This window comes from Homo sapiens, chromosome 7 (assembly GCF_000001405.40).
Source record: "Homo sapiens chromosome 7, GRCh38.p14 Primary Assembly".
NCBI classification, from domain to species: domain Eukaryota; kingdom Metazoa; phylum Chordata; class Mammalia; order Primates; family Hominidae; genus Homo; species Homo sapiens.
Genome location: NC_000007.14, coordinates 63368513 through 63396192, shown reverse-complemented (window position 1 = coordinate 63396192; position 27680 = coordinate 63368513). Strand labels below are relative to the sequence as shown.

Here is a 27680-nt window from a genome sequence, read left to right as displayed (position 1 = left end):
TTGCCTTGAAAAAGGAACCAGAGTTGAAACTGAAGTAGTAGGTGTTGGTGAGATTTTGATGGCTAAGAGCATCGGGCTCATTTTGTAACTGAAGGGGAAATTAGAACAGGTCACCAGTTCCATCTGACCACAATGCAGTTGGAATAATCACCATGGCAACCCATGACTTGTATTTTAGGGGAGAAGAATTGGAAATAAAATGACCAAGCATAAAGCTGACCCAGTCTACATGGATCTTTGTCTTTAAAACATATCTGCAATACTCATGTAGGCAGTGTATAAATAACTTGTCAGAAATATCGTTTATGCCAAGGTTCTTCTTGAATTTTCAGGATTTTGCTTCTCCAGTAGTGAGTGTGTTACTGAGCAAAAGGGGCTTTCTATCCAAAACACTAGAACCCAAAACTGTGGCACTGGGTTTTTCTTTTTAAGAAAAAAAAAAAAAAGCTGCTCCTTATTATAATTTTTGTTTATATTATAATTATGTAAGTATAATTTTAATTTTATTATAAATTTGCTTTATTATAATTTTTATTTCAGTATCACTTACAGTACAAGTGGTTTTTGGTTACGTGGATGAATTATATAGCAGTGAATTCTGAGATTTTAGTGCACCTGTCACCTGAGTAGTTTATATTGTACCAAATAGGTAGTTTTTTCATCCCTCATCCACCTCCCACTCTCTGCTTCTGAGTCTCCAAAGTCCATTACATCACTCTGTATGCCTTTGCATACGCATAGCTTAACTCCCACTTATAAGTGAAAAATAATAGTATTTTATTTTCCATTCTTGAGTTATTTCACTTAAAATAATGGCCTCATATCCCTTGCCCTGAAATTAACAGCCAGCAGGGGTGTCCTCAGTATCAAAACAAGTCGACCACACAAAGCCGTCAAAGACTCCAGGAACCCAGGTCCATGGGGTGCAGCCCTGCAAGGTGGAAAAGCTGACCAAGTCTTCCTTCCAGCCAAATCTGGAAGAAAGGCCCCTTGCCTGGAGCAGTGTTCCTGGTACCCAGGCCTCTGTGGGCATCCCTCAGCACAAAGACCCTCTCCAAGGGGCATGGGCCGGCCCTTCCAGGACCACCAGCCCAGCTCCAGAAGCCCATGGGTCATCCCCACCCTCACCTGACTGAGCTGTCCCTGAGGCTAAGGCCCAGCAGCATGAAGAGACTTCCACAGAAACCAGGGCAATAGGCTGCTCTCTGGCGGCACTGGGGGCTCAGGGTCTGGCTAGCCTGTCCCTGGCTCAAGTCACATGCCTGGAAATTAGGGTTTTCTCCTCTGCTCTTAGCATCTCCTGGGTAAACCAATAATTACCCTCCTTCATGTCTCAAAATTCACATCCATGTAAAAGGCTCTGGTGAGGGTGACATTTCCAGGAAGCCACAGCCCATGTCAACCCCCTGCAAAGCTGTGACCTTGTCCGCGGGCAGGTGAGGCGGCGGAGTTCTCCCAAAAGCCGGTGAACTGGCGCTCTGGCTGGAGAGCGCGGAGGGCGGCAGCACAATGGACAGCGTCTGGGACCTCAGGCCAGTTCCACAGCAGCCTAGGAAAGCAGGCGGCTCCTGTGCTGGAGGAGGCGTGATGCTCTGGAGGGAAACCGAGCTGAGCAGCGAGAGGTGGGGTGAGGCTGAGACCCGCCCGATTTAGGCAAAGATGAGGTGCACTTCGCAGCGTCACACTCTTCTCACTGCCCAGCCCCGACTTGCCCCTTAAGTCCCTCTCTGGACTCACTCCCCTTAGCCAGGGATGGCACAGAATCAGTGGCCAGCATAGGTTTGGAAGCAGAGAGGTCCACACGGCTTGCGCCTCCCTCCGGGACTGCTCACCACCCCGCAGCCCGGCGCTTGCTGGGACTGTAGGCCGGTAGCCCTGCGACCAACAGCCGAAAGCGGTTAAGAAACTACTCCCAGAATGCCTGGCGAGGCGCGCACCACGCGGCCCCTTCCTCCAGGCATTCGCACCACCCCCCACTCCCGTTGCATGCTGGGATTGTAGTTGATCGCCTGCGATCAACGGCCGGAAGCGGCTAAAACTACTCCTGCCTGCATACCCCGCAGGAGCAAACCGCGCCATGTCTCCCTCCAGGGATCCGCACCGCTCACAATCCTGTTTAGTGCTGGGATTGTAGTCCTGCGAGCCTACGACTAATAGCTGGGTGCGGATAAGAGACTACAGCTCCCCCCATTCCCAGCAAAGGTCCCTCCTCCACCGAGCTCCTCCAGGCTTCCAGTGCAGTTCCGCCGTGCGGAGGGAAGCTTGGCTGTTCACAAACCTCTCCTGCCCGCGAGGAGACAGCTTGGCCAGGGCGGCTGATCTCACCTTGTCATTGTGACACGGTGTCTCCCCAACGTGCTGGCTTCATGACTTGTGCCCAGAGTTTGATTTTCCACAGACCAGGTAGAGGCCAAGAGCCTCTCACAGACTCTGCAGCAGGGTTGCTATGGTAACGCTTGCGCCCCCGCCCCCCCCAGCAGCCGGCTCGACACCGCCCTTTCCCTCTGAAGGGCCACTCGTTTTAGCCACGTCCTCTTATTGTCCCTCCCCTGGCCACACCCCTTCAGACATGCGTAGTGCTCCCCTTGGTCCAGCGCGGGAAGCTCCCTCGTGAGTGTCCGAAACTATTAGCTCACTCACTGCCTCATGTGAAGGTACCCAGTCTCTGGTAACCTGGCACTTCCCTTTTGAAAACCACCTTTTTCTCTCTCTCTGGGCTGCCACGAATCCCCCTGTACTCCCCAGATGCACCTGTTGGACCCCGGGCTGGCTGCATGGCCCACACCTGGGTCAGGCCTCGCACAGGGGCGCTCCTGCCACTATAATAACGATGAGAAAATGTCCCAGGGGAAAGGCCTGACCCTGCTGCATCCAGTCAGGAAACTGCCACGGGGAAGGGACCACCTAAACTACTTTGCGAGCCACATCCACCACTTCTTTGTCCCCCACCCAGGCTGGTTCCCAGGCCTTGGGGTCCTAGTGTAGACCTCCCGGCCATAACTAACACAGGTGCAGGACCAGAGAGCGCCTTGGTTCCTCCCAACACATGAGGAAGTTTGTGTGGTGAGGTTTGGACAGTGTCTTTGTTTTTGCTCTGAATAGGGTGCCCTGGAAAAATCTTTACCTCTTATTAAATACTCCCTTTGGAACCACTTTTAAGACTTTGCCGATGGAACTTAACAGTGATCATTTATTGAATCCATTTTTCTATTCGCTTTTTTAGATTAACTCTTAAGTACTCCACAACTACACGCTTTTGAAACTGGCGTTGGCATAGCGTTAGTTCTGTGCAGGGCGGACGCAGCAGGACAGAATCTCCCTGGGCATCTTTTCGGAGCATCAATTTTACTGCAAAATTTTGAAAAAACAAATTTAATTGATTTCCAAGGTAAGAAATTAAACCTTGAAAAATAGACTAAAGAGTCATCTGCACCTGACATATCAGACTTTCTGCAGGAAGAAAACTCTAAGGAGAGCATATTGTCCATTATTATAAATAGTGAAAATGAGAAATCATAGCAAGTCCCTTGAAAACCCTGCCCTGCCAGTTTTCTAATAGGGCCTTGGTATGGTTTTATGTGTATTTTCTTTTGAAGTGTGCTCATCTTTTGAATATACAAATTTGAGGTTTTGACCAAATTTTGCAAGTTTTCAGCTATGAGTTGTTTATTTGCTCTTGTATCATATTTAATTTTTCTGTCTCTCCCTCTCCTTCTCGGACTCAGTCATTCCACAGGTCTCTAAGGAGCTTTTCATTTTCTTCAAACTTGTTTCACTCTTCAGATTGGATGATGATGATTTCTATTGCTGTCTTCTGTTTCTACTCTGTTTATAAACTCAAAGGTCTTTTTAATTTTTCATTTCATTATCTCTGTATCCCATTCTTTTTATAATTTTCATTTCTCTGTAATGGAGTCTCGCCGTGTCACCCAGGCTGGAGTGCAGTGGCTGATCTCAGCTCACTGCGCCCTCCTCCTCCCAGGTTCAAGTGATTCTCCTGCCTCAGCCTCCCAAGTAGCTGGGACTACAGGCACACGCTGCCACACTCAGCTAATTTTTGTATTTCTAGTAGAGATGGGGTTTCACCATGTTGGCCAGGATGGTCTCAATCTACTGACCTCATGATCCACCCACCTCGGCCTCCCAAAGTGCTGGGATTACAGGTATGAGCCACCGCCCCCAGCGTTTCTGGTGTTTTATCAGAGGAGCAAAACCTGAGGTAATTCAGATTCTGCTCTTTGTTATCTTCTAGGAGTTTTGTGAGTTTTCCTCCTATATAGGTCTATGATCCATTCTTAGTAATTTCTGTGAAAGTTGTCAGGTCTGGGTTTAGGGTTTTTTTTTTTCTTCTTTTCTCTTGTATGTGGATGTCCAGTTGTTCCAGTACTGTTTGTTGAAAAAGTATTGTTTCTCAATTGAATTTCCTTTGCTTTTTCCTCAAAGATAAGCTGACTATATTTCATGGGTCAATTTATGAGCTTTATCTTTTGTTTGATTGATCTGTTTCTCTATTATTTTTTACCAGTACCGTGTTTTGATTACTGTAGCTTTATAGTAGTGCTTACAGTTGGGTAGTGTCATTCCTATAACTGTTCTTTTAAAATATTTTCTTGGTTATTCTGAGTCTTTTACCTTTCCATATAAACTTTAGAATCAGTTTGTCAATATCCACAAACTAGCTTTGTGGAATTTTGATTGGGATTGCACTGAATATGTAGATCTAGTTGGGAAGTACTGACGTTTTAACAACGTTGAATCCCTCTTTACTTGAATGTGGATTATCTCTCCATTTATTTAGATCTTCTTTGATGTTTTCACAGTTTTGTAGTTTTCTTCATATGGTTTCTATATTTATATTTATTTTCTTATATTTGTACCTAAAGAATTTCATTGTTATTGGTGCTAGCATAAATGTCACTGAATTTTTAAATTTCAAATTCTAATTACATTACTGATATATAGGACAGTAATTGACATTTGTATATTAATCTTATATTGTGCAAAGTTGCTATAATTGCTCATTAAAATTGGTTATTCTAAGATTTTGTTTTGTGATCTTTTTGTATTTCTCCATAGGCAATTATATCATCTGTGTAAAAAGACTGTTTTATTTCTTCCTTCCCAGTCTATGTACCTTTTCTATTCTTGTCTTATTGCATTACCTAGGGCTTATAGTATAATATCATATAGGAATGGTGAGAGGAGACATCTTTGCCTTGCTCCTGATCTTAGCAGGAAGGAATCTAGTGTTTCTACATTCAGTATGAGGTTAGATGCAGGTTTTTTTTTTTTTCTTGAGATGTCGTCTCGCTCTGTCACCAGGCTAGAGTGCAGTGGTGTGACCTCAGCTCGTTGCAACCTCCGCCTCCCGGGTTCAAGCAATTCCTTGCCTCAGCCTCCCAAGTAGCTGGGACAACAGGCACGCACCAGCATGCCCGGCTACTTTTTTGTATTTTAGTAGAGACGGGGTTTCACCATGTTGGCCAGGATGGTCTCAATCTCCTGACCTCATGATGCACCCACCTCAGCCTCCCAAAGTGCTGGGATTACAGGCGTGAGGCACTGTGCCCGGCCAGGTGCAGGTTTTTTTAATAGACATTATTTATGAAATTGAGGAAGTTTTCCTCTATTTCTAGTCTGCGGAGAGTTTTTCTCATGAATGGGTTTTGGATATTGTCAAATGATTTTTCTGAATGTACTGATGAAATCTTATCTTTTTAAAACTTAATATGATGAACTAATTTTTTTTAAAGACAGAGTCTTGCTATGTTGCCCAGGCTTAGTTTGAACTCCTGGCCTCAAGTGATCCTCCCTCCTTGGCTTCCTACTGCATTAGGATTACAGGTATAAGCCACCACACTTAGCCTAATTTATTTTCAAATGTTGAACCAGCCTGGCATGCCTGTAATAAATCTCACTGGGTTGCAGTATATAATTATTTTTTACATTTTTGGACTTGATTTCTTAATATTTTGGTGAGGATTTTTGCATCTTTCTTCATGTGAGATATTGTCCTGCATTTTTTTCTTGTAACGTCTCTGTCTGAATTTGACACTATGGTAATCCTGGCCCCATTGAATAGTTTGAAAGTATTCACTCTGCTTCTGTTTTCTGGAGGAGATTGTAGAGGGTTGGAATAATTTCTCTTAAATGTTTGCATAAATATACTAGTTACCTCATCTGGGTCTGGTACTTTCTATTTGGTAAGGTTACTTATCATTGACCCAATTTCTTTAATAGATGTAGTACTATTCAAATTGTCTGTTTCTTATTGTGTGAGTTTGGGTAGGTTGTTTCTTTCAAAGAATTTGTCTGTTACATTTGGGTTACCAAATTTGTGGGCAAAGAGTGGTTTATAATGTTTCTTTATTATTCTTTAATTCTTCATGGGATCAGTAATGATAGATCCTCTTTCATTTCTGAAATTAGGACTGTGTCTTCTGTCTTTTTCAACCAAAACTAAAAAGGAACGTTTTAAAAAGTGAAAGCTATTTTTGATAAACTATCTAATTTCCCATGATCTGCAACTGTGGGTACATAGGAAGTACATGGAAACAGATGTTTGGCAGAGCTTGCCAACAAATTCTTTTCTGCATCAAGAAGGCATGCCTCTCAGCATGACACTCTTAAGAGGCAGAAATGTGACAAAAGAAGGATGCGATCTGCTCCTGGTGAAGAGCCACCTGACTCTCCCTCAGCTGCACATAGTGGCCTTAACGTGCATCTTGCTAGAAGGGGCATGCAAGCCAGGGGCTGCCAGCCAAGCCATACAGGCCAAGGACAGTTTCAAGTCTGCCTTTTATTTCATCGAACTGTTGTTCTAGTAAGCAGCTAGAGTTTTATGAACACTGTAAACTCTTTATCATATTTCTTTGCTATTTCTGGAGGATTTGTTCTAGGAGTCCTCTTGGATACCAAAATGCATGGATGTATAAGTTCTTTATATATAATGGCATAGTATTTACATATAACCTATGCATATTCTCCTGCATACTTTAAATCTTCTCTAGATTACTTTTAATACCTAAATTGTTGTTATGCTGTGTTGTTTAGGGAATAGTGAAAAGAAAAATAAAATTCTGTAAATGTTCAGTACAGAAACCTTATTAAAATATTTTTGATTCACATTTGTTGAATCCAGGAATGCAGAAATAAGGAGGGACAGCTCTACCTATGTTTGGAGTCCATGAATGTGTCATCTTGCTGTGTTTGTAAATAGAAATTTATTTCACAAAATGACTCAACTGCTTCTTCACTAACATGTTCAAAAACTTGCAAGAAGCAGCCAGGCATGGTGGCTCACACCTGTAATCCCAGCACTTTGGGAGACCCAGGCAGGAAGATCACCTGAGGTTGGGAGTTCGAGACTAGCCTGACCAACATGGAGAAGAATCGTGTCTACTAAAAATACAAAATTAGCCAGGCACGGTGGCGCATGCCTGTAGTCTCAGCTACCTGGGAGGCTGAGGCAGGAGAATTGCTTGAACCCAAGAGGTGGAGGTTGTGGTGAGCCGAGATCGCACCATTGCACTCCAGCCTGGGCAACAAGAGCAAAATTCCGTCTCAAAAAAAAAAAAAAAAAAAAAAGAGAGAGAGAGAGAAAAGAAAAGAAAAACACTTGCAAGAAGCAAAATAAGAATTGAGAAAGGGGAAAGATGATGACTGAGAGTTGGAAGGTTGCACATTTTCACAGAAAAGTAGAACGGAATTGTAACAAGCACTCTGATAGGAAATCATAGTTTATGTCTCGCAACTGTCCCTGAAAAAATACAATGGTTGGCAGAAAAGACAAGAAATGAGATAGACTATAAATTAACTGGAGAAGAGAAAAAATAATTCCCAGAAGTAAATTGTCAACGAGTTTGAAAGCAGGTAAAATGTAGGTGCATTATCCCTACTCTTTCTGAATAATTTTACAACCTTGTGCAACAGGAGCTTCTGTCACTGCAGAACCAGGGTCACCTGTGGAAAATCCTTGCTGAAGCCATCTCCCTGTCTGCCTGTCCCTCAGGCCCAGGAGTCATGAGTCCTTTCTCCAATAAGTCATTCAGTTGGCTGGCAGCAAACCCTGGTAAGATTCTTCAAGGCAGCTACTTTTTATCTTAGATTTTAACAGAAACTCATGAAGAAAAGTCTTAAGACCTAAACTCCCAAGTCCCTTACTGTATCATTTTGAGTATTAGGAAATCAGTCAGAGGTCTTTTCAGCATCTCTGAAATCACAATGCAAAAATAGCCCCAGCTTCATAAGGCCGATTCTTGGTATCTCTGTTCTGCAAAGTAGGGTAAGCAAGATGCCACAAAAGGCAGGTTGAATGCAGCATTATCCTCACTCCACCAACAGAACTATCATACTTTAAGTAACCCAGCAGGTCTTTAAAATAAAGAAATTATAAAACATAAGGAAAAACTTTCTTGAGAGGAAAAAATTTACAAATCAGAGGAAAATCTTCTAGAACTTTTACATCTTATAACAAATAAATCATATGCTTTATTGTTTTCCTCTGAGTACATCATCAGTACTTCCATAATACTTCTAATTTTTGGCTTGAAAACACCAGTTGCTTAAAAAAACACAGGGACACAAAACAAAATCCCAGAAATGTATAATTATTTTTTTTAAGCTGACAAAGGAGTAACACACCACTGACTTCTCAGGGAAAAGCTTTCAAGCAAAGCAGTCATTTCTGGTGGGGATTATAGAAGAGGGAGTTATCATGGTGAGATGGTGGAACTAATCCAGAACAAGCCAGATTTTTAGTATTGACAAAGGGATTTAATCAGTTGCCCAGGAATACTCACTCACTTGGAAATCAAACTTCCATCATTATTCTTGGAAGAATTTCTGGAACTTCCCCTTTGGAAACAAATTTTTATCTTCAAAAATACCAGACAATAGAAGAAAAGAAATGAAAAAGGAGGCAGAGGAAGATGAATCTTGCTTAGGCAGGGACTGAAAGGGAATTCGTGGCCATAGGCCACATTTTTCAGCGCCCACTGTGTGACGGCTTTCCCCAGGACCACACGTGTGCCACTGAACAAGAAGAGTCCACAGGGACCTTCACCTTATTCCTCCCCAACATCAAAACCAAAATGGAACAACCTACCATGAGAATATGAGTATATATCACAACTTCCATTACATTTAAAGCATGCAGAGTATCTAATTGCAAATTCAAACAGTGGAAAAACAAATCTACTTGCCTCCTGGCCACAGCCTTACTCTTTTAAGAGAATGTGGTCTATGCTTTCTAATCCCATCACCAGGGATAAATAACCACAGGTTTGTGTGACATAGAACCACCTCCATGCAGAGGTAAATATGCATTTATTTTTTATAAAATAAGAATTATACTCTGTACTTTTATACCATACTTTTAGAATATAACAGTTCTTATGATCATTTTATAATTATTTGAAACAACCTCCGTAGCTATATAACATTAAATCAAAAGAACATTTCATAATTTTACCATTTTCCTATTGGACATTGAGTTTGCTCTCATGAAGTTTATATTTGTGTGATGATTTGGGGGAAGTTTCTCGGCCTCACTAGATTGAACACCTTGTGATGGTGGTCACTGTTATATTCTTTTTTATTTTTATTTTTTGAGACAGAGTCTTTCTCTGTTGCCCAGGCCGGAGTGCAGTGGCATGATCTCGGCTCACTGCAACCTCCACCTCCCAGGTTCAAGCGATTCTCCTGTCTCAGCTTCCTGAGAAGCTGGGATTACAGGTGCACGCCACTATGCCCAGCTAATTTTTGTATTTTTAGTAGAGACGAGGTTTTGCCATGTTGACCAGGCTGGTCTTGAACTCCTGACCTCAGGTGATCCCCCCGCCTCGGCCTCCCAAAGTTCTGGGATTACAGGCGTGAGCCACCATGCCCAGCCCTATTCTTATTTCATTAAAATACCTGAAACATATCAGGTATATTGCAGCATCTGTTGAATGAATGAATGAATCTCTCCTTCAAATCTTGGCTAAAGTCTGCCTCATCCACAAAAGTTCCTGACCCTCACTTCAATCATAAACCTCTTTCTCTTCTATAATTTCCCATGTAGCTGTTTGTTTGTTTTTTTTTAACTCCCTGGCAGGAAAAAGAGGAAACATGCTATTTATTGAGCACTATTCTGAGTCAGGGACTGTGGTAAATACATTCAAGAAGAAAGCATCAAAAGGGCTATACGTCAGCCTAGACAGTGTGCCCCAGAGGGTCCTTGACTGAACATTTGGTGACGAGCATGTTGGGCATGTGCTCTAGGCTGAGGTGCAGCTCTTATGCCACAGACTGACCCTGGATCAATTATGGCTCAAGTCCCACCCTGAAATCTCTCTTTCCCATTTCTAGGTTTGTCAAGGAGGACAGAAACTCAGAGCACCCTGCACTTGGGGATCGGCACTAGGAGCTGCTCTCTGGATGGGGAGATGGGAGCTAGCAGCTCACAATGGGGTCACAAGGTAAGTTCCAAACAGCTCTGTCACAGAGAGCGTCAGCAGATCGCAAAGAAAGGGAGCATGTGAAGGAGAAAGCCCTGAGTGATGTCACAGCTCATTTCTGGGCAAAGGGAGAAGAAATTAGCACCCTGAGGCCCTTCCGCCTTATTAACCCATTGCACTTATTCTCAGAGGCTCCTGCCAAAAATAGAGACATTATTCCACCTCCACCTCCTCAAATTCTAAGCCAGAAATATGTGTGTGTTATCATTCAACTTATATCATTTTTTCCTCCTTAAATGATATTTTCACCACTAATAAATTTATCAAAATTGTACTTCACATGTGTAATACAGAAGAAACAAGGCTTCCTTCAACACTGAATTAATGAAAAACAACTCAGGATATTTACTTTTCTTCACACCATAAATTTTGAAGAGCTTTTTCGTTATGCACTGTGTGTTACAACATATGTGCTTAAGCAGTCAAGCAAGTATCTCATATCTGAATTGGAAAGCTTTAGAGTATTGACAAAGAAGATGTATGTATGTATGTGATGTTGCTGGCCTAAGACAGGCCACTGCTACTGCACACAGAGCAACTGTATGTTAACAACTGCTGTGCTAGGGGCGTGTCCCCTGAAGTTAGTGTTGCTAGCATGGAATTGAAAATATTTATGAGTCTCAGACATGGCATCACGGTGTTTGACTATTATTACATTAGTTACTTTTAGTCACTGTTTTATTACAACATTTTAATGTACATTTGTTCACAGTGTAAAGAAACTGAAGTTTTTGTTTGTTTGTTTTTTCTTTGTTTCTGTTTTTGTTTTTAACTTTTATGGTTGTGTGCCCATGGGCCCCCACAAGAGGTCTCTGTTTGATCTCATTTCTGTGCTAGTGATATTTCTAGGAGTCCAATAATATGGGGCATGTTATAATATACCTTTTAGAATGAAGAAAAAGTGGTTACGTATACATTCTCCTACATCAAAAAAAGGCGCAAGAGCTGGCAGGTTTCTTTGGGTTATGAGAAACCCATTCCTAGTTTGAGTATGATACCGTGGCCCATTCAATGAATGTAATGGAAAACTGCTACTTTTAAATTGGGCACAGAATAATAGAAGGCCTGCAAAAAGTCCAGAGTGCAATGCAAGCTACTTTGCCACTTGTGCCATATGACTGCAGATGCAATGGTTTTTGAGGTGTGACTGGGAGATAGGAATGCTGTTGTATCTTTGATAGGTTGCTATACATAAAGCCTGGTGTAGGTCCTTATAATTTTGGAGCAGAGCCTTAAAACCTTCTGCAGATAATTCTTTCTTTCTTTCTTTCTTTTTTCTTTCTTTTTTTTCTTTCTTTTGAGGCAGTGTCTGCCTCTGTCAACTTGGCTAGAGTTCAGTGGCATAATCATGGTTCACTGCAGCCTCAACTTCCTAAGTGCAAGCAATTCTCCAGTCTCAGCCTCCTGAGACTACAGGTGCATGCCACCACATTCCATGGATTTTAAATATTTTTGTACATATGGGGGCTTGCTGTGTGTGCCCAAGCTGGTCTCGAAATCCTTGCCTCAAGCAGTCCTCCTGCCATAGCCTCCCAAAGTGGTGGGATTACAGTTGTGAGCCACCACAATCAGCCTTACCTTTTGAAACTATTGTAAATGGAATTGTTTCTTCATGTCATGTTGAGATTGTTCATTGCTAGTGTATAGAATTTTTATTAATATTTTTATATTATTTTAAATCATGCAATCTTAACTCATTTATTATAGTGGGTATTTGTGAATTTTCTTTTTTCTTTTCCTTTCTTTTCTTTTTTTTTTTTTTTTTTGAGACGGAGTTTCACTCTTGTTGCCCAAGCTGGAGTGCAATGGCGTGATCTTGGCTCACTGCAACCTCCGCCTCCTGGGTTCAAGCAATTCTCCTGCCTCAGCCTCCCGAATAGCTGGGATTACAGGCGCGCACCACCACGCCTGGCTAATTTTTTGTATTTTTAGCAGAAACGGGGTTTCACCATGTTAGCCAGGCTGGTCTCGAACTCCTGACTTCAGGTGATCCCCCCGCCTCGGCCTCCCAAAGTGCTGGGATTATAGGCGTGAGCCACCACGCCTGGCCGAATTTTCTAGAAAGTTTTATATACAGGATGTCATCTGAATAGGCTTCCGATCTTTATCTGAAGGTCATGAATTTATTTTTGTTCCATGATATTTCTGGCCAAAATCTCCAGTATACTGTTAAAATAGAAGTGGTAAAAATATATTCTTGTCTTGTTTCCAAACTAACGTTCTCAAACCCAAGATTTCAACATTATGCATGATATTAGCTGTAGGTTTTTAATAGATGTCTTATAGCAGGTGTAAAAATTTTGCTTGTGTTTCTAGTCTAGTTAGGGTTTTTTCATAAACGGGTCTAGATTTGTCAAATGTTCTGTGTTTTTCAGAATGATCATTTTGATATTTTATTGTTTTATTAAGCTGTATTATATTGACTGATTTTTGAATGTTAAATTTGTATTGTGAGATACCCCTCTTGGTAATGGTGTCCAATAATTTTCATTTGTGGCTACATTTATTTTGTTATTATTTTTGTGGATTTCTGTGTCAATATGGATAAGGGATAATAGTCTATAGTCTCGTAGTGATTTTTCCTGACTTTTGTCTGGGCAATACTGGCCTCATGGAATGAATTGGTAAGTTTCTTCTGTTATTCAGTTTTGTTTTGTTTTGTTTTTTTGTGGGGCAGTCAACTAAAAGACCTGGTTTTAACTCATTATTAAATATTTGGTCAAATTTACAAGTGAAACTATCTACTGAGCTTTTCTTCATAGAAAAAGTTTAATCTCTAATTGTTTTGGTTCTATTCATATATTCTACTTATTCTTGAACTTACTGTAATAACGTATGCATATTATCCACTAATCAATTTCTAATTTGTAGCATACTATCTTTTTATATTTTCATTGCAATAAAAAGTAAAGGGAAGAATAATGTGGAAAGACAAAGATTTTGGCAATCCATGTTTCCCTAGTGTCTCAGGGTCCTCTGTTGTAGGGAGGAGATTATTGTACTTGTTGTACTTAATACTCACATATGTTCATGAAGTAGATGGGACCCATCATCTAAAGTAAATTAGAGAACTTTGCAAAATGTAACCAAAATAAAAGTTTGTGCCTACCTCTCTTTTAATCAATATTTAGACGGGACAGGAATATAAATTTCAAGAAAAACATATACAAAATGACATGGTAAATTAAGAATGGCATGAAAAGATAAAAACCTAATATATCAGAGTTGTTTAGTACAGTGGCGTGATCTTGGCTCACTGCAACATCCACCTCCCGGGTTCAAGCGATTCTCCTGCCTCAGCCTGCTGAGTAGCTAGGATTACAGGTGCCCACCACCTTGCCTGGCCAATTTTTTGTATTTTTAGTAGAGACAGGGTTTCACTATGTAGGCCAGGCTGGTCTTGAACTGTTGACCTTGTGATCCGCCCACCTCAGCCTCCCAAAGTGCTGGGATTACAGGCATGAGCCAACACACACGGCCTAGAGTTGTTTTAAAATTTTTTAGAGACAGGGTCTCTGTTGCTCAGACTGGAGTGCAGTGGCACAATTATAGCTCACTGCAACCTCAAACTTCTGAGCTCAGGTGATCTTCCCACCTCACCCTCCTGAGTAGCTTGGGGCTACAGGCACTTGTCACCATGCCAGGCTAATTTTTAAATTTTTTTCTAGAGATGGGGTCTCACTATGTTTTCCAGCCTTGTCTTGAACTCCTGTGGGCAGTCCCACAGCAGCATCTCAAAGTGTTTGGAATTACAGGTGTGAGCCATTGTACTGAGCTCCAGAGTTGTTAATACTTAGGATATATGATGTTTTAGGCACAATTCCAAGCCATTTGTATGTATATATTTAATAACAAAGAGTTTAATGTGTAACCCAAATTTTCATGTAAGTGAGGAATTTATACCTTTATAAAAATATTAGGTGACATTAAAATCATTCTAGAGGCCAGGCACAGTGGCTCATACTTATAATCCAACAGTTTGGGAAACCAAGGTGGGAGGATAACTTGAGGCCTGGAGTTTGAAACCAGGCTGGGCAATGTCTACAAATTAAAAATTAGCCAGACATGGTGGCATGCACCTGTCGTCCTTGCTACTTGGGAGTTTGAGATGGGAGGACTGCTTAAACCCAGGTGTTTGAGGTTATAGTGAGCCATGACCATACCATTGCACTCCAGCCTGGGTGACAGGGTGAGATCCCATCTCTAAAACAAACACACAAATATCAGAGAAAGAAGTTTTCTCGTAGAAAACAAATGAATGAATATAAAGAGTGCTAAATAACTTTTTAAAAGTTGTGCTAGTTAATCAGGTAGACAAATATTATCTTTTAGCACTCAAAAGAAGATAAAAATAATTTTCAAATATCATAGAAATTATTAAAATTTCAAGAGTTTAGGCTTGAAAATGTATTACTAACTTTATAAAAGCAAAAGTCTTACATGTGATATTTTCTAAGTAACATTAAAAGGCAATAGAAATAATCATTTAAGGTGTAACCAACCAAAAAATAAAGAAAACAAAAAGTGTAACAAGTAATATATAACCACATACTAGTTTTTAAAAGATCATTAAAAAAAAGTTATATGAATAATCAAAAAAATCATTTTAAAAACTACTGGAGGAAACAGAATCCAAATGTGATTACTTTTACAAAGTCAGAGTACTGCTAAGGAGAAACCATTTTGACTGGAGCCAAATGACTAAATTCAGATAATTAAATCTACCAATACTATCTTAATATTAAGGAAAAACAGTAATTCTAGCCATAAACATGTATAGTTCCTGCAGTATATAAATATACATTCAAGTAATAATAAAAATTACCCTGCACAATAATCCCGGCATATGGTAGATATTGGCGGTGGTGTTCTAAATGAAGAATGTTGAGATTTCCAATGAGACATTATTCTGCAACAAATATCAATGTGAAATATTTTACTTACAGATGCATGGTGAATATTTGATGTTTTAGAACAAAAATGTATTTACAAATCTCATTTGATGCAGACATCTGAAAATACTCAGAAGTTACAAGAATTCATAAAATACCCACCAAAGCTAATAGAAAACATGGAACCTTCCAGGACAAGAAGTAAATTAAAAGAACAACCCAGAGGAGTAATCAAAGTGAGAAGCCAGTGCCGCCTCCAGGTACTGGATGATCACAGGGACCTCAGGCTTTGGGGATTATTCAACTACCTTCTTGGAATAAACAACAAAAAAAGTACTGACTAAAGTTATTTTGTACAAAATCTCTCAAATACAAAACCAAAATTATTTTTAAATTATAATTTCTCACATACTATGAAGTACAAAAGAAGCTACCAAGATGAAGAATTAGAAGAAACTAGACATCACATAAAATTCAGATATTGAAAATGTGTTTAAAATGCTTAAGTGAAGTAAATGGTAAAAAATAGAAAATGAAAATATTTTGGCAAAGCAAGAAACTATAAACTTAACAAGCATATTTGGAAAAGAACCACAAAGAAGTTGAACAATTGAAAAATAAATAAATTCAATGCACAGTGTTTGGCATTAGGCTGAACTGACAAAAATAATAGTGAATTATAATATTTAGAAGAATAAATATCACCAGATAAACAAAAGGTAATAAAAATATGAGTATAATTCATCACTGGCCATCAGAGAAATGCAAATCAAAACCACAATGAGATACCATCTCACACCAGTTAGAATGGCAATCATTAAAAAGTCAGGAAACAACAGGTGCTGGAGAGGATGTGGAGAAATAGGAACACTTTTACACTGTTGGTGGGACTGTAAACTAGTTCAACCATTGTGGAAGTCAGTGTGGCGATTCCTCAGGGATCTAGAACTAGAAATACCATTTGACCCAGCCATCCCATTACTGGGTATATACCCAAAGGACTATAAATCATGCTGCTACAAAGACACATGCACACATATGTTTATTGCGGCACTATTCACAATAGCAAAGACTTGGAACCAATCCAAATGTCCAACAATGATAGACTGGATTAAGAAAATGTGGCACATATACACCATGGAATACTATGCAGCCATAAAAAATGATGAGTTCATGTCCTTTGTAGGGACATGGATGAAATTGGAAATCATCATCCTCAGTAAACTATCGCAAGGACAAAAAACCAAACACCGCATGTTCTCACTCATAGGTGGGAATTGAACAATGAGAACACATGGACACAGGAAGGGGAACATCACACTCTGGGGACTGTTGTGGGGTGGGGGGAGGGGGGAGGGATAGCATTAGGAGATATACCTAATGCTGAATGACGAGTTAATGGGTGCAGCACACCAGCATGGCACATGTATACATATGTAACTAACCTGCACACTGTGCACATGTACCCTAAAACTTAAAGTATAATAATAAAAAAAAGTCAGTAAATCTCAAAAATAAAAATAAAAATAAATAAAAATATGAGTATAATTATGTGTATTGAAATAGAATAAAAACAATTCACTAGAATACATAAAATAATGAATCACAGTAGTAAAACAATTTACTAATTTCTAAAGTTGTAAATCAGATATACAAATATTTAAATGTGTAATTGTACTATACCAAAAAGATATAAAAATACAACTCAATGTAACAAACTATAAAATACTAAAGATAAGCAGAAAACTAAAAGAAGTGTGAGAAAGAAAAGTGAAACCACCTATAAATATAAGAGCAAAATGTCCAAAGCCTGTGTAGAGTCAGAGAGCAGAGAAGTAGTGCCGAGAAAAATTATTATTGTTCTTATACTGGATACCTGGCTAAAATATCTTTTATGAATGAGGGTAGCCTAAACAAATTTATAAAGTAAAACACTTTTATAAACAATAAGAACTTCTTCTTTTTTTTTTTTTTTTTTGAGATGGAGTTTTGCTTTTGTGACCCAGGCTGGAGTGCACTGGCACAATCTTGCCTCACTGCAACCTCTGCCTCCCGGGTTCAAGCAATTCTCCTGCCTCCGCCTCCCAAGTAGCTGGGATTACAGGTGCCTGCTACCACGTCCGGCTAACTTTTGTATTTTTAGTAGAAACGGGGCTTCACTGTGTTGGTCAGGCTAATCTTGAACTCCTGACCTCAGGTGATCCACCAGCCTCTGCCTCCCAAAGTGCTGGGATTACAGGTGTGAGCCACCACGCCTGGCCAACAGTGAGCTTCTTAACGATGTAACTCAAGAAGACAGAAAAGTTTCCTTGTATAAACTTTACAAAATCAAAATGAAATGTAAGAAACTTCTAAGACATATGGGACTTCAGTCAACATACACATCAAACTTAAAAAATCACCCAAGTTCTTGGCAGCATCAGTTTCAAAATTATTTAGATATAATAAAAGTATACTTTTACATATTTTAATTAATTAAAGTAAGTTATCTGCTACTGGAATGATTTAACTGATGGCAGAAGAACTCATTTTTCCAAGAATTATTTTTATTATTAATTGATATTAAATCTATGACACTTCTGTTGTGTATTTTTCAGAATATTGGTTCTTCTTTTATCTGAAGTGAGGAGCACCAGAGGACTGATCACGGCATAGACATTGACTACAAGACTCTGAACTTGCTGGTTGATTGGGCCATATGCCCACAACATTGCTGAGGAGAAGGAGATGATGAAATCCACCCAACAGAGGACCACAGAGAAACTTACCAGCAGCAGTATGGTCTGGATGGCCCGTTTCTCAGGGGAAGCTCCTGGGGAAGGACCATTGCTGTGAAGGTGGTGGGATCACCTCTGAGGCCTGAATAAGAGAGTCACCATGTATGCAATTAAGAACAGCAGTATTCCTACCAGGAAAGCATCCCTAAGTGTTGTCAGAATAAGAAACGTGGCCCTGAGGATGAAGCTCATGGAGAAAACTGAGCAGTACTTACCTATATTCAGTACATTTGTCTGGCTCACACTGGAAGCAGCTACAGTGTAGAAGATCCTGTTACTACTGAAAGACAAGTTGAGGAACCATAAGAAGAAGAAAACATGGATAATGTAATTTGAAGATTTATGTTTAAACCTTGCCAATCAGGAGGTGCTGGGGCTGATGGTGGTGGCCTGGAACACACTCAGGGGGCAGGTGGTGCAGATAGAGAGGCCCCACAACACCCTGCTCAGGTGGAAAAGTGCCTTACACTTGAAGTCATTCTGAAGTTCAATGATGCAAACAGATTTGGAGACTGCAATAACAGTGCAATGAAGAAGTTCACTATGTGGACGAGGGGCAAGGGACAGATGATCAAGTCAGTGGGTTTTAGTCTGTGATACAGAAGGAGAGTGAAGATGCTGAAGAGGAACAGAAAAGTATTGACTGAGATTCCAACAGCAACTTGTAAAACAAAGCAGCTTTTTAATAACATACATGATATATATGTACATTGTAGTGGCAAAGAGGAAACATATTTGTATATCTGAAAAAACAAGTTTAGACATCTTCAGTGCTGTTCTATAGTTAAAATTATCACAACTATGATTATGTTTATTTCTCCCAATTATTAAGACTTACAATGTAATATAAATTATTAGAAAATACTCCTTCGGCATTACATGTATTTATTTGCACAATGCTTCAGTGTGTGTGAGAGACACTATATGTAAATGTATATGTCAGCATTACACATATATATAGTCAGCATTAATTTTATGCCAAGTAACATATATATAATGTGTTTGTGCATAATCGTTTTGTTTTGTTTTGTAGGGACAGGATCTTACTCTGTTGCCCAGGCTGGTCTCAAGTCCATGGGCTCAAGTAATCCTTCTGCCTTGGCCTCCCAAAGTGCTAGAATTACAGAAAGTAGCCACCATGCCCAGCCTATGTACACACACACATATATACATACATATCTAACATATGTATACATATACATAAGTGATCACTTAATGTAATCACTAGGTTCATAAAAATTGACTTTAATCAAAATGATATACTGTATCATGAAACCAATTTAACCATAGGCTAATAGATATCAACAGGTACTAAGTTTCTATGGAATAAAACAAACTTTTACACTTAAAATTGCACATTTCTAAAACCTATCATGATATTAAGTGATGATGTAGTGTATGTAAAACACCAGCATATCCACTATCATGTCTACGTAATGTACTCATTTTCTATGCTCCTACGGTTCTTGGCCTTACTCTTTAGAAAACTTTGCTTTACTGTTCTGTATTTCACTGTTTAATATTCAGCACACACAATGGTGACAGGCATGTATATGATGCAGAAGTGTTTGTATGGCTGAGCTGAAGCAAATTTTATGCTAATGGTAAAAGAACCCCCAAAACATGCAACTGAAAACAAAGAATGTCCAAGTGAGTCTTTGTAACATGACATTAATTTCAGCCTGCATGTTTCTGTTTTCTCCAAATTTGTATGTTAAAACCAAACCACCAGTGTAATGGTATTAGAAGGTAGGACCTTTGGGAAGTAGTTAGGACATTTTCAACAAAAGCCCTCATAAATGGGATCTGCGCCCTTCTATAAGAGGTTCTAGGGAGCTGGCTTGCCCTTCCAGTTGTGTGAGGACACATGTAGAAGGTGCCATCTCTGAACTAGGATACAGGCCCTCACCAGACAGTAAATCTTCCAGTACTTTGATCTTGAAGTTCTCAGCCTCCAGCACTGTGAATAATAAATTTCTGTTGTTTATAACCTACTCAGTCTATGATATTTTGTTATAGTATCTTGAATGGACTAATAAGACAGCATCACTCTGACACTTTCTCTTCTCTATTTCTCTTTCGCATTTCAGGACCCTTGTGATTATATTAAGCTCACCCTAGTAATCCAGGATAACCTCCCTGCTTTAAAGTTAAGTGACTATAACCTTTATTCTATCTGCAATGTTATTTCCCATTGCTGCATGACCTAATATATCTGCAGTCTGGGGATTAGGATGTGGACACCGTTGGAAAAGCATTAGTCTGTTTATCACCGATCTTATTCACTATTTTTATTAAATATTATTCTGGCCATCTTCTAATTTACTTTAAATTTGAGAGATCCATTATATAAACTATTTTCATCTCACAAGAAAATTGTTAAAATCTAGCTTTCAATTTTTGGAAAGACAGTCACCATATTTCTTTACATTTTGACATCTGTGAGGTTGTATTGAAATATTTACATGGTGATGCTATTCTTGAGATTTTAATGGAGGGATAGCCTCCTGTGCCTTTAAAAATATTTAGATCTTCTATGGAAAAGATTCTTTTTTGAAGTTTAATCAAGATGTTTTCACATTAGAACCCTTTGTAAAATTTCACTGAATAAGTTTGCAATGATATTATCATGTTATTTTTCTAGATGCAGGCATTACTATTTCAACCATATAAATCAATTTAATGCTGAGAACAGTTTAGCTGATGACACCAATAAATAAATAATGGAAAAGTGCATAGGCATTCAGATACTTTCCCTGAGATGAAAGAATGTTTACTTATGTTTTCAATGCAGACATTCTGCTAGTGTTCTTGGCTTCAAGTCAGAAGGTCATATATGGTGGAGAATATTGCTCTAAAACTGACTAATATGTATGAACATATAAAGAAAATATTGTATATTTTGTTAAATTGTTATAACACTTTTCCTACATCTTAATCTACTGAAGGAATCCATTTATCTTTAATACAAAAACCAAATAACTGATAATTACTACCAACGTATGGAACCATGCTAAGCACAGTTGACTTCTACTGCTATGTGGGAACAAGTGTAAGATTAGTATTAAGGCACAATAATTTCCACATTTTAAGAATCACAGTCCAGTACCAGTAAAATAATATTTGGGCACGAACCACTAATATATGTGTAATCATTTAGTAACTATATATGAATTATTTTACTAATATACTGCATCTATCACAAGTCATATCCCCAAAATAGTAAAATTTATCACATAAAAGAACATAGATAATAATGTTAATATTTTCATTTCTTACCTCACAGGGTATTTAGCTCATGACCACTAACTTTAGCTCCCTCTTTCTAAACATCACATACCACAAAATGAATGTATCCATTAGATTTAAAAATGTTGGCTTTCTTCAATGTGACTCTCAAGAGCATTAGTGTTCAGCCTGGACAGGAGAGCACCATGGTTCTGTGAATTAGAGTTCAGAGAATAAAGCACAACACATAGTATTTAAACTTCAGGTAAAAAATGAATAACTACTTCGGTGTATGTATCTCCAAAGTATCACATACAACTATTACATTCAAGTATGCAAAATATTTCATAGTTATGCTAAAAAGTTACGGTCATCTTTCTGAATTTCAAACTTAACTACAACTTGAATTGTTATTTGGTGAATCTGGAAACCCCACCATGAAAGAATTATGAAATTTAGATAACATGGTTAGTATCATAAAAACAAAATAGAAAAAAACATGAAAGTCATATCGGTCAGAGTATAAAGGAGAATTTGCCTCTAACAGCTGCCTTAAAATACATAAATCTGAATGTACATCTCAGCATTTACTATTAGCAGTGACAACCAGATTGTTGGCCTAAGCGTGAAGCTCCTGAGCACTCAGATAATGCAGTTAAAGTTCGTTCTTAGTATTATGGCTTCACTGTAGGCTATCTTAATATTGTAAATTCAAAAGCAGGAACATAAGCACAGATAAAGGTGGAGAAAATAGCACCATCAAATAGACTAGGTACAAAAGTTTTTTAATGTAGACATCCAAAGTAATAGGAAAACATGTTAAAAGTAAGAAGCTACTTATAATATCCTAAGTGCTATTATGCATAAAAAATATTTTGGAGAAAATAAAATTTGATAAAATCTATTTTCTCATATTTATAGTAATATATTGTCTCATATTTATAGTAATATAATTTTAGAGTTTTATCATCTTATAAATCATATTATTTAGTACAGTTCTTTGTACTCTGCCTTTATGTATGTGTTTTGCTTTATTATTGTATTAATTAATGGCATTATTTTGCTTGTAAATTTTTCCCACATTCTATGAACAGCATTGCACAACCTATTGCTGTTCTTGGACAGCATAAGTCATAATGAAGTTTTCAGGTGACAAGGCCAGGGTGAGTTTGTTAACCCAATGGCAATATTTGGCAACCTGAGAAACATAGCTGACAGTGGCAGGAAGGAAAACACCTTTCCATCTAGATTAATTCCATGAAATTACCTTTATGAAATGCATAAATGGTGAAGAATAAATATAATAAACATGAGACAGTAGTGAGTAACTGATAAAACAGCTACTATTTTTTCTTGGAATTTGAAATTAGTGTAGGAACAGCTAGGAACACAATGCTGCTGACAAGGAAATTATAACTTAAAGACATTTAATTCTCAGCTTTCCCAAGGAAAGGAGAAAACAGAATAAAAAAGCAAAAGTAGGAGACAGAAAAACACACAAAATGTTTGACCACAAATCTTGTGTTATAAATTTTGGGAAACCCTATAAACCTGTTTGGAAATGTGTTTTTGTAATCAACACAACCTAGAAGATACCAGCGAAATATACAATTCTTATGTGAAAATGCTTATGTGGTGTTTTAGTATCAGATATCTGTGCATCACAGTAATGAGAAGATCATAGTCATACCAATTGCATTCAACTGGAGAATTTGGAGGAAAATGGAGGGCATGCCTTGTGTACCTGAGGTCTCCGGTTCAGGAGCAGTCAAGGTCCTCCTCTTCTCAGACATTCTCTCCACTATGCATGGAAGACAGGGGCTTTCAACACAAATTATTTTAAGACAAATTCATTCATATTCAGAAATATAGCAATTGTCCACTGAGTATGTTCCTTAATATTTTGATGCCCACATGGACCACAAATTTATTTTATCATCATTTGTTCCTTTCTGTGTTTTACTTATCCTGATTTCATCCTCTCTGTTTTCTACTTTAAAGAAACACACATGCTTGATGACGATATGCCTGCTGAATACAGACAATGATTATTTGTGTTTTTAAAAACCAAATTTACTTGTCACATTTTGGACTGTGTTTTATTGAACACATTGCAGTTGGTAGTCTTCAGAGGTATAAGCAGAAATACTAAACCAAGAGGATGTTTTATAATAAGAAAATACCATTGTTTTAATACCATTGTTCTCATCATGAAATAACCTCACCCAAACTAATACACAGAGTATTTTAAAGTTTTGGTTTACTTAGAAACAATACCATACTAAAACAATTTACTTTAGGAAAAGATTTCAAAGCACACTGAGTATCACCTCCTCCCCATTTATACAAGGTAGTAGTTAGCTCAACAGAAATTTATATAAACAGCAGAACATTATATTTTCAGATAGTTTTAATATCACAAGAAAAAAATCTCTATTGGCAATTACTATAATGAAATGAAACAAAAGAATCTGGGTATCTGCTAAAATCTTATTACTGTAAAATGTTAGACATATCTTGTGTTTTTAACATCCTAATTTGAAACAGTTCTAAAATATCAGAATTATATAAAGCAATCTTCAAAGTTTAAAGAAGCAAGAAGTATGACTAAATAATTTTATTAGTTCAGATTTCTGTGTTTACAAATTAAAACTTCACATAAATGCAGAAAGTTGTAGTTCAGCTAATTATATTGAGAGTTCAGCTATTATATTGAGAAAAGTCAAATGTATACAAATTCAAGTAGAACATCTCCAAAAATCTAAATGTTTTTCTACAAATCTATAAATTTGTTACTTCATAAGATTAATTATTTTGTATCTGGAAACACCTTCTTATGATAGTTAGAATTCAATGAACCACAGACTGAAATTATTAGGAGCTAATTCTAACAACTAGCTAATAAAATTCTATCTCGATTCACCACTCACCTAGACTTGTGAGCACCCACTGTTAATGAAGCTGAGAAGCAGACACCCAGGTCAGTCTTTGGAGTGAGTCTGTGTATGTGAGATCAGATCCAACAAGTGGTTATAGGGAAGGGATGTTGTCAACTCATCTCCCTCCAGGCCTACAATTGTCATGTCGCCTGTAGAAAAAGGATAAGAGCAGATGTTGAGATTGGTGGAAAAAGGAGCCACCAAAGGGAAAAGTGAACTTACCTATCTGAGGAGGAGCAGCTGGGTTCCACACTTTTCATATCTGAAGATCACTTACACAAGTCAACTTTGCCTGGTGAGTTGGATGATCTCAGTATTTGTCAACAAAACAGGATTCTCCCAATAACACTCCTGTCTAAGTAATGAGAATGTCATGTCAGTCTTCCCAGTGTGACTCTGGTGACTTAAGAATGTTTTCATAGTAAATACTGAAGTTTCTTATAGCAGTAGGAAGCCTTGCACCTGATAATTTTCTTTTTTTAATTGGCAAAGGTAATTGTGTATATTTATGTGGTACAATGTAATATTTTGATTTATAGGAAGATCCAGTCAAGCTAATTAATATATCGCCTAACCAAATTGCTAACAATCTATTCTTTTAGCAATTCTGAAATATACAATTTATTATTAAGAACTCTGGTCATCATTCAGTACAATAGATCACTAAAACTTCTTTCCCCAGCCTAACTGAAACCTGTACCCTTTGATCAACATCTTTGCTATACCCATTCCACCCCGACCATAGCCTCTGGTGATCACCTTTCTTCTCTGTTTCTATGAGATCAACATTTTAGCTTTCATATATGTGAGATCATACATTATTTGCCTTTCTGTGCCTGGTTTATTTTCACTGAGCATAATGTCCTCCTGTGTCACCCATAGCCATTCAAATAAAACAATTATTGTAATCCAATGACCTTAGGGTCCCAGCTGGACTATAACTACCTTTTTGAGAAAGAAAAAAAAGTCTCCTCTGACTGACATTCCCAGAAATAATGCTCTGTTCTCCAGGTGACACAGCCTTGCTCCAGGGTACCTGGCATTGGAATTCGAATGCAGGCTGCATTTTAACACTTATTTCCCCCACCTATTTCATCAATTTTCTTTACGGAGGGCAGAAGGGTTCCATCTATTTAAGCAACACCGAGGGTTAGGATCGGCACTGTTCTTTGCAATATAGCTTATTTAGACATGGAGTTCTAAATGGCCATGCCTCCCATGGTGATGTGTTCTGTCAACCCCAACCTTCAGTCTCCTCGGTTCCTTCTACTCAAGAGACACTGGATCTCACATATCCAGCAGGAGAACATCCACATTTTAAACACTATTCAGTTTTGATTTTGTGACAACAACTAGCCACATCTTTGTGTAATTAGCTCTAACTTTAACCTTAATTGTTATGACTATCATATTTGTGGCCCACTTTCTTAACCAAACACTATCTTGTGTTAAAGTGAAGATTTCTTTTAACAAACCAATACATTTTTTACCTGGGTACTAGATCAAACTGTTTAGCTTCATTTTGAAGTATCTCTCTCACATTTCATCTCTAATGCTCAAGCAAACAGTTCCCACACTCAACACCTGCCCTGCAGACTTCAAATGTTTGCAATTATATGTCTTCCTGCTTTCTCCAACCCGGTACACTCTATAATCAGCTACTATCACTATGTTATCATTGACAAATCCAGCTAACTTATTAGATCTTATTTGTTTGCCCCCTCCTCTCAAACTTCTGTCATTTCAAATGAAATAAATGGTTTCTAGTGCACTTCCCCAACACTTCTGTGTCTTTATTTGTGCCTGACTTTTCTTTCCTTCTTCCAAACTGGCTGGACAGTACGTATGTCTGAATAAAGCACTGGGCTGTGGCTTATTTGGAAAGAACCTGGAACTGTGCAATAAATAGATGCTTCTAGTAAAAAAAGAAATCTGAAGCAGATTCTGATGAGTTAAAATGTATGTATTAAATCCTAGTCTGAACAGTAATTAAATAACTCAAAGAAAAAAGCCATATAGATATTAAAATGTAAGATAAAATGTATTTACTTAATGCAAAAGAAAGCAGTTAAGGAAAGAAAAAAATGAGACATGTAGAAAACAAAATTTAGAAACATTAAATATAAAAGTATTCAACAATCAACATGCAGAGTTTGCCAACTGGGATGTTAAAATCAAGAACCAACTCTGGCTGGCATGGTGCCTCTTGCCTGTAATCCCAGCACTTGGGGAGGCCGAGGCAGGAGGACCACCTGAGGTCAGGAATTTGAGACCAGCCTACCTAACATGGTGAAAACCCATCTCTACTAAAAATACAAAAGTTAGCCAGGCATGGTGGCACATGGTGGCGATTCTCCTGTCTCAGCCTCCCAAGTAGCTGGGATTACAGGTGTACACCACCACGCTCAGCTGATTTTTGTACTTTTAGTAGAGACAGGGTTTCACCATGTTAGCCAGGCTAGTCCCAAACTCCTGACCTCAGGTGATCCACCCACCTCGCCCTCCCAAAGTGCTGGGATTACAGGTGTGAGCCACCATGCCCAGCCAGAGCATGCTTTTTATCTATCATGCAAGAACTCAGAGGGAAGGTGGCTATCTTCAAGCAAGGAAGAGATAGTTCGCTGAGGAATTGAATCAGCTGGCACCTTGATCTTGGACTTTTCAGTCTCCAGAGCTACAAGAAAGAAATACCTATTGTTTAAGCTACTAAGTCTATGGTATTCTACTATAGCATCTAAAGGATGCTAATACAGATTTTGATATGGAGAAGTGGGGTCCTGATATAATAAACACCTAAATGTGTAAGCAGCTTTGGAACTGAATGATGTATAAAGGCATCAAAGAGTTTGGAAGTGCATATTAAAAATATGTAATCAAGCTGAATTCTGATGAGGGCTCAGGAAGAAAATACAACTGCAGAGGAAGTTTTCATCTTCTTAGAAAATATGTAAATAATTTTGAAGACAATGTTGGTAAAAATATGGACATTAAAGGCCAATCTAATGAGGTATGAGACAGAAATGAGTAACATTAGAAACTGAAGAAAAAATAGCCACAAATAAAATGAAATACCTAGCAATGTACTTAATCAAAGAAGTAAAATATCTGTATAATGAAAACTATAAAACACTGATTTTTAAAAAATTGAAGAGGACACAAAATTTTTTTTTAATTTGCTTTTTATAGATTAGAAGAATCAATATTGTTAAAATGTCTATACTAGCCAAAGCAATCTCAGTTTCAATGCAATTCCTATCAAAATACCAATGACATTCTTCACAGAAATAAGAAAAAAATTCTAAAATTCATATGAAACCTTAAAAGACCTAGAAAAAAACTAAATAA

General features: G+C 38.4%; 3 long non-coding RNA genes and 1 pseudogene across 18 annotated transcripts in view; 1 reads left to right on the top strand and 3 right to left on the bottom strand.

Annotated features, from left to right (window-relative positions):
* LOC124901641 (uncharacterized) overlaps nucleotides 1-2506 on the bottom strand; it is a 28360-nt gene extending 25854 nt beyond the window's left edge. Inside the window, exon 1 of the long non-coding RNA XR_007060340.1 lies at nucleotides 2326-2506. This is a non-coding gene — a long non-coding RNA (uncharacterized LOC124901641). The remainder of the gene's footprint in view (nucleotides 1-2325) is intronic.
* Nucleotides 1926-20490, top strand: LOC101929050 (uncharacterized). 15 transcript variants are annotated; one of them, NR_187720.1, is made up of 5 exons: nucleotides 1926-2161; nucleotides 3224-3388; nucleotides 7933-8071; nucleotides 10351-10460; nucleotides 17989-19030. It is a non-coding gene; the product is annotated as an uncharacterized LOC101929050 (long non-coding RNA). The 15 variants fall into 15 exon arrangements; NR_187727.1 differs by lacking the exon at nucleotides 17989-19030 and adding an exon at nucleotides 15508-15728; NR_187730.1 differs by lacking the exons at nucleotides 1926-2161; nucleotides 17989-19030 and adding exons at nucleotides 2566-2654; nucleotides 15446-15728.
* Nucleotides 14747-27680, bottom strand: part of LINC03075 (long intergenic non-protein coding RNA 3075) — a 27314-nt gene continuing 14380 nt past the window's right edge. The window contains exons 4-10 of one of the 2 annotated variants that reach the window (XR_002956557.2): nucleotides 24558-24690; nucleotides 24327-24484; nucleotides 23141-23197; nucleotides 21448-21608; nucleotides 18384-18448; nucleotides 18160-18250; nucleotides 14747-15408 (exon numbers count right to left, since the gene is read on the bottom strand). This is a non-coding gene — a long non-coding RNA (long intergenic non-protein coding RNA 3075). Of the gene's footprint in view, nucleotides 15409-18159; nucleotides 18787-21447; nucleotides 21609-23140; nucleotides 23198-24326; nucleotides 24485-24557; nucleotides 24691-27680 lie in introns of both variants that reach the window. The other variant, XR_001745219.1, reaches the window with a different exon arrangement.
* Nucleotides 17944-18860, bottom strand: VN1R32P (vomeronasal 1 receptor 32 pseudogene; annotated as a pseudogene).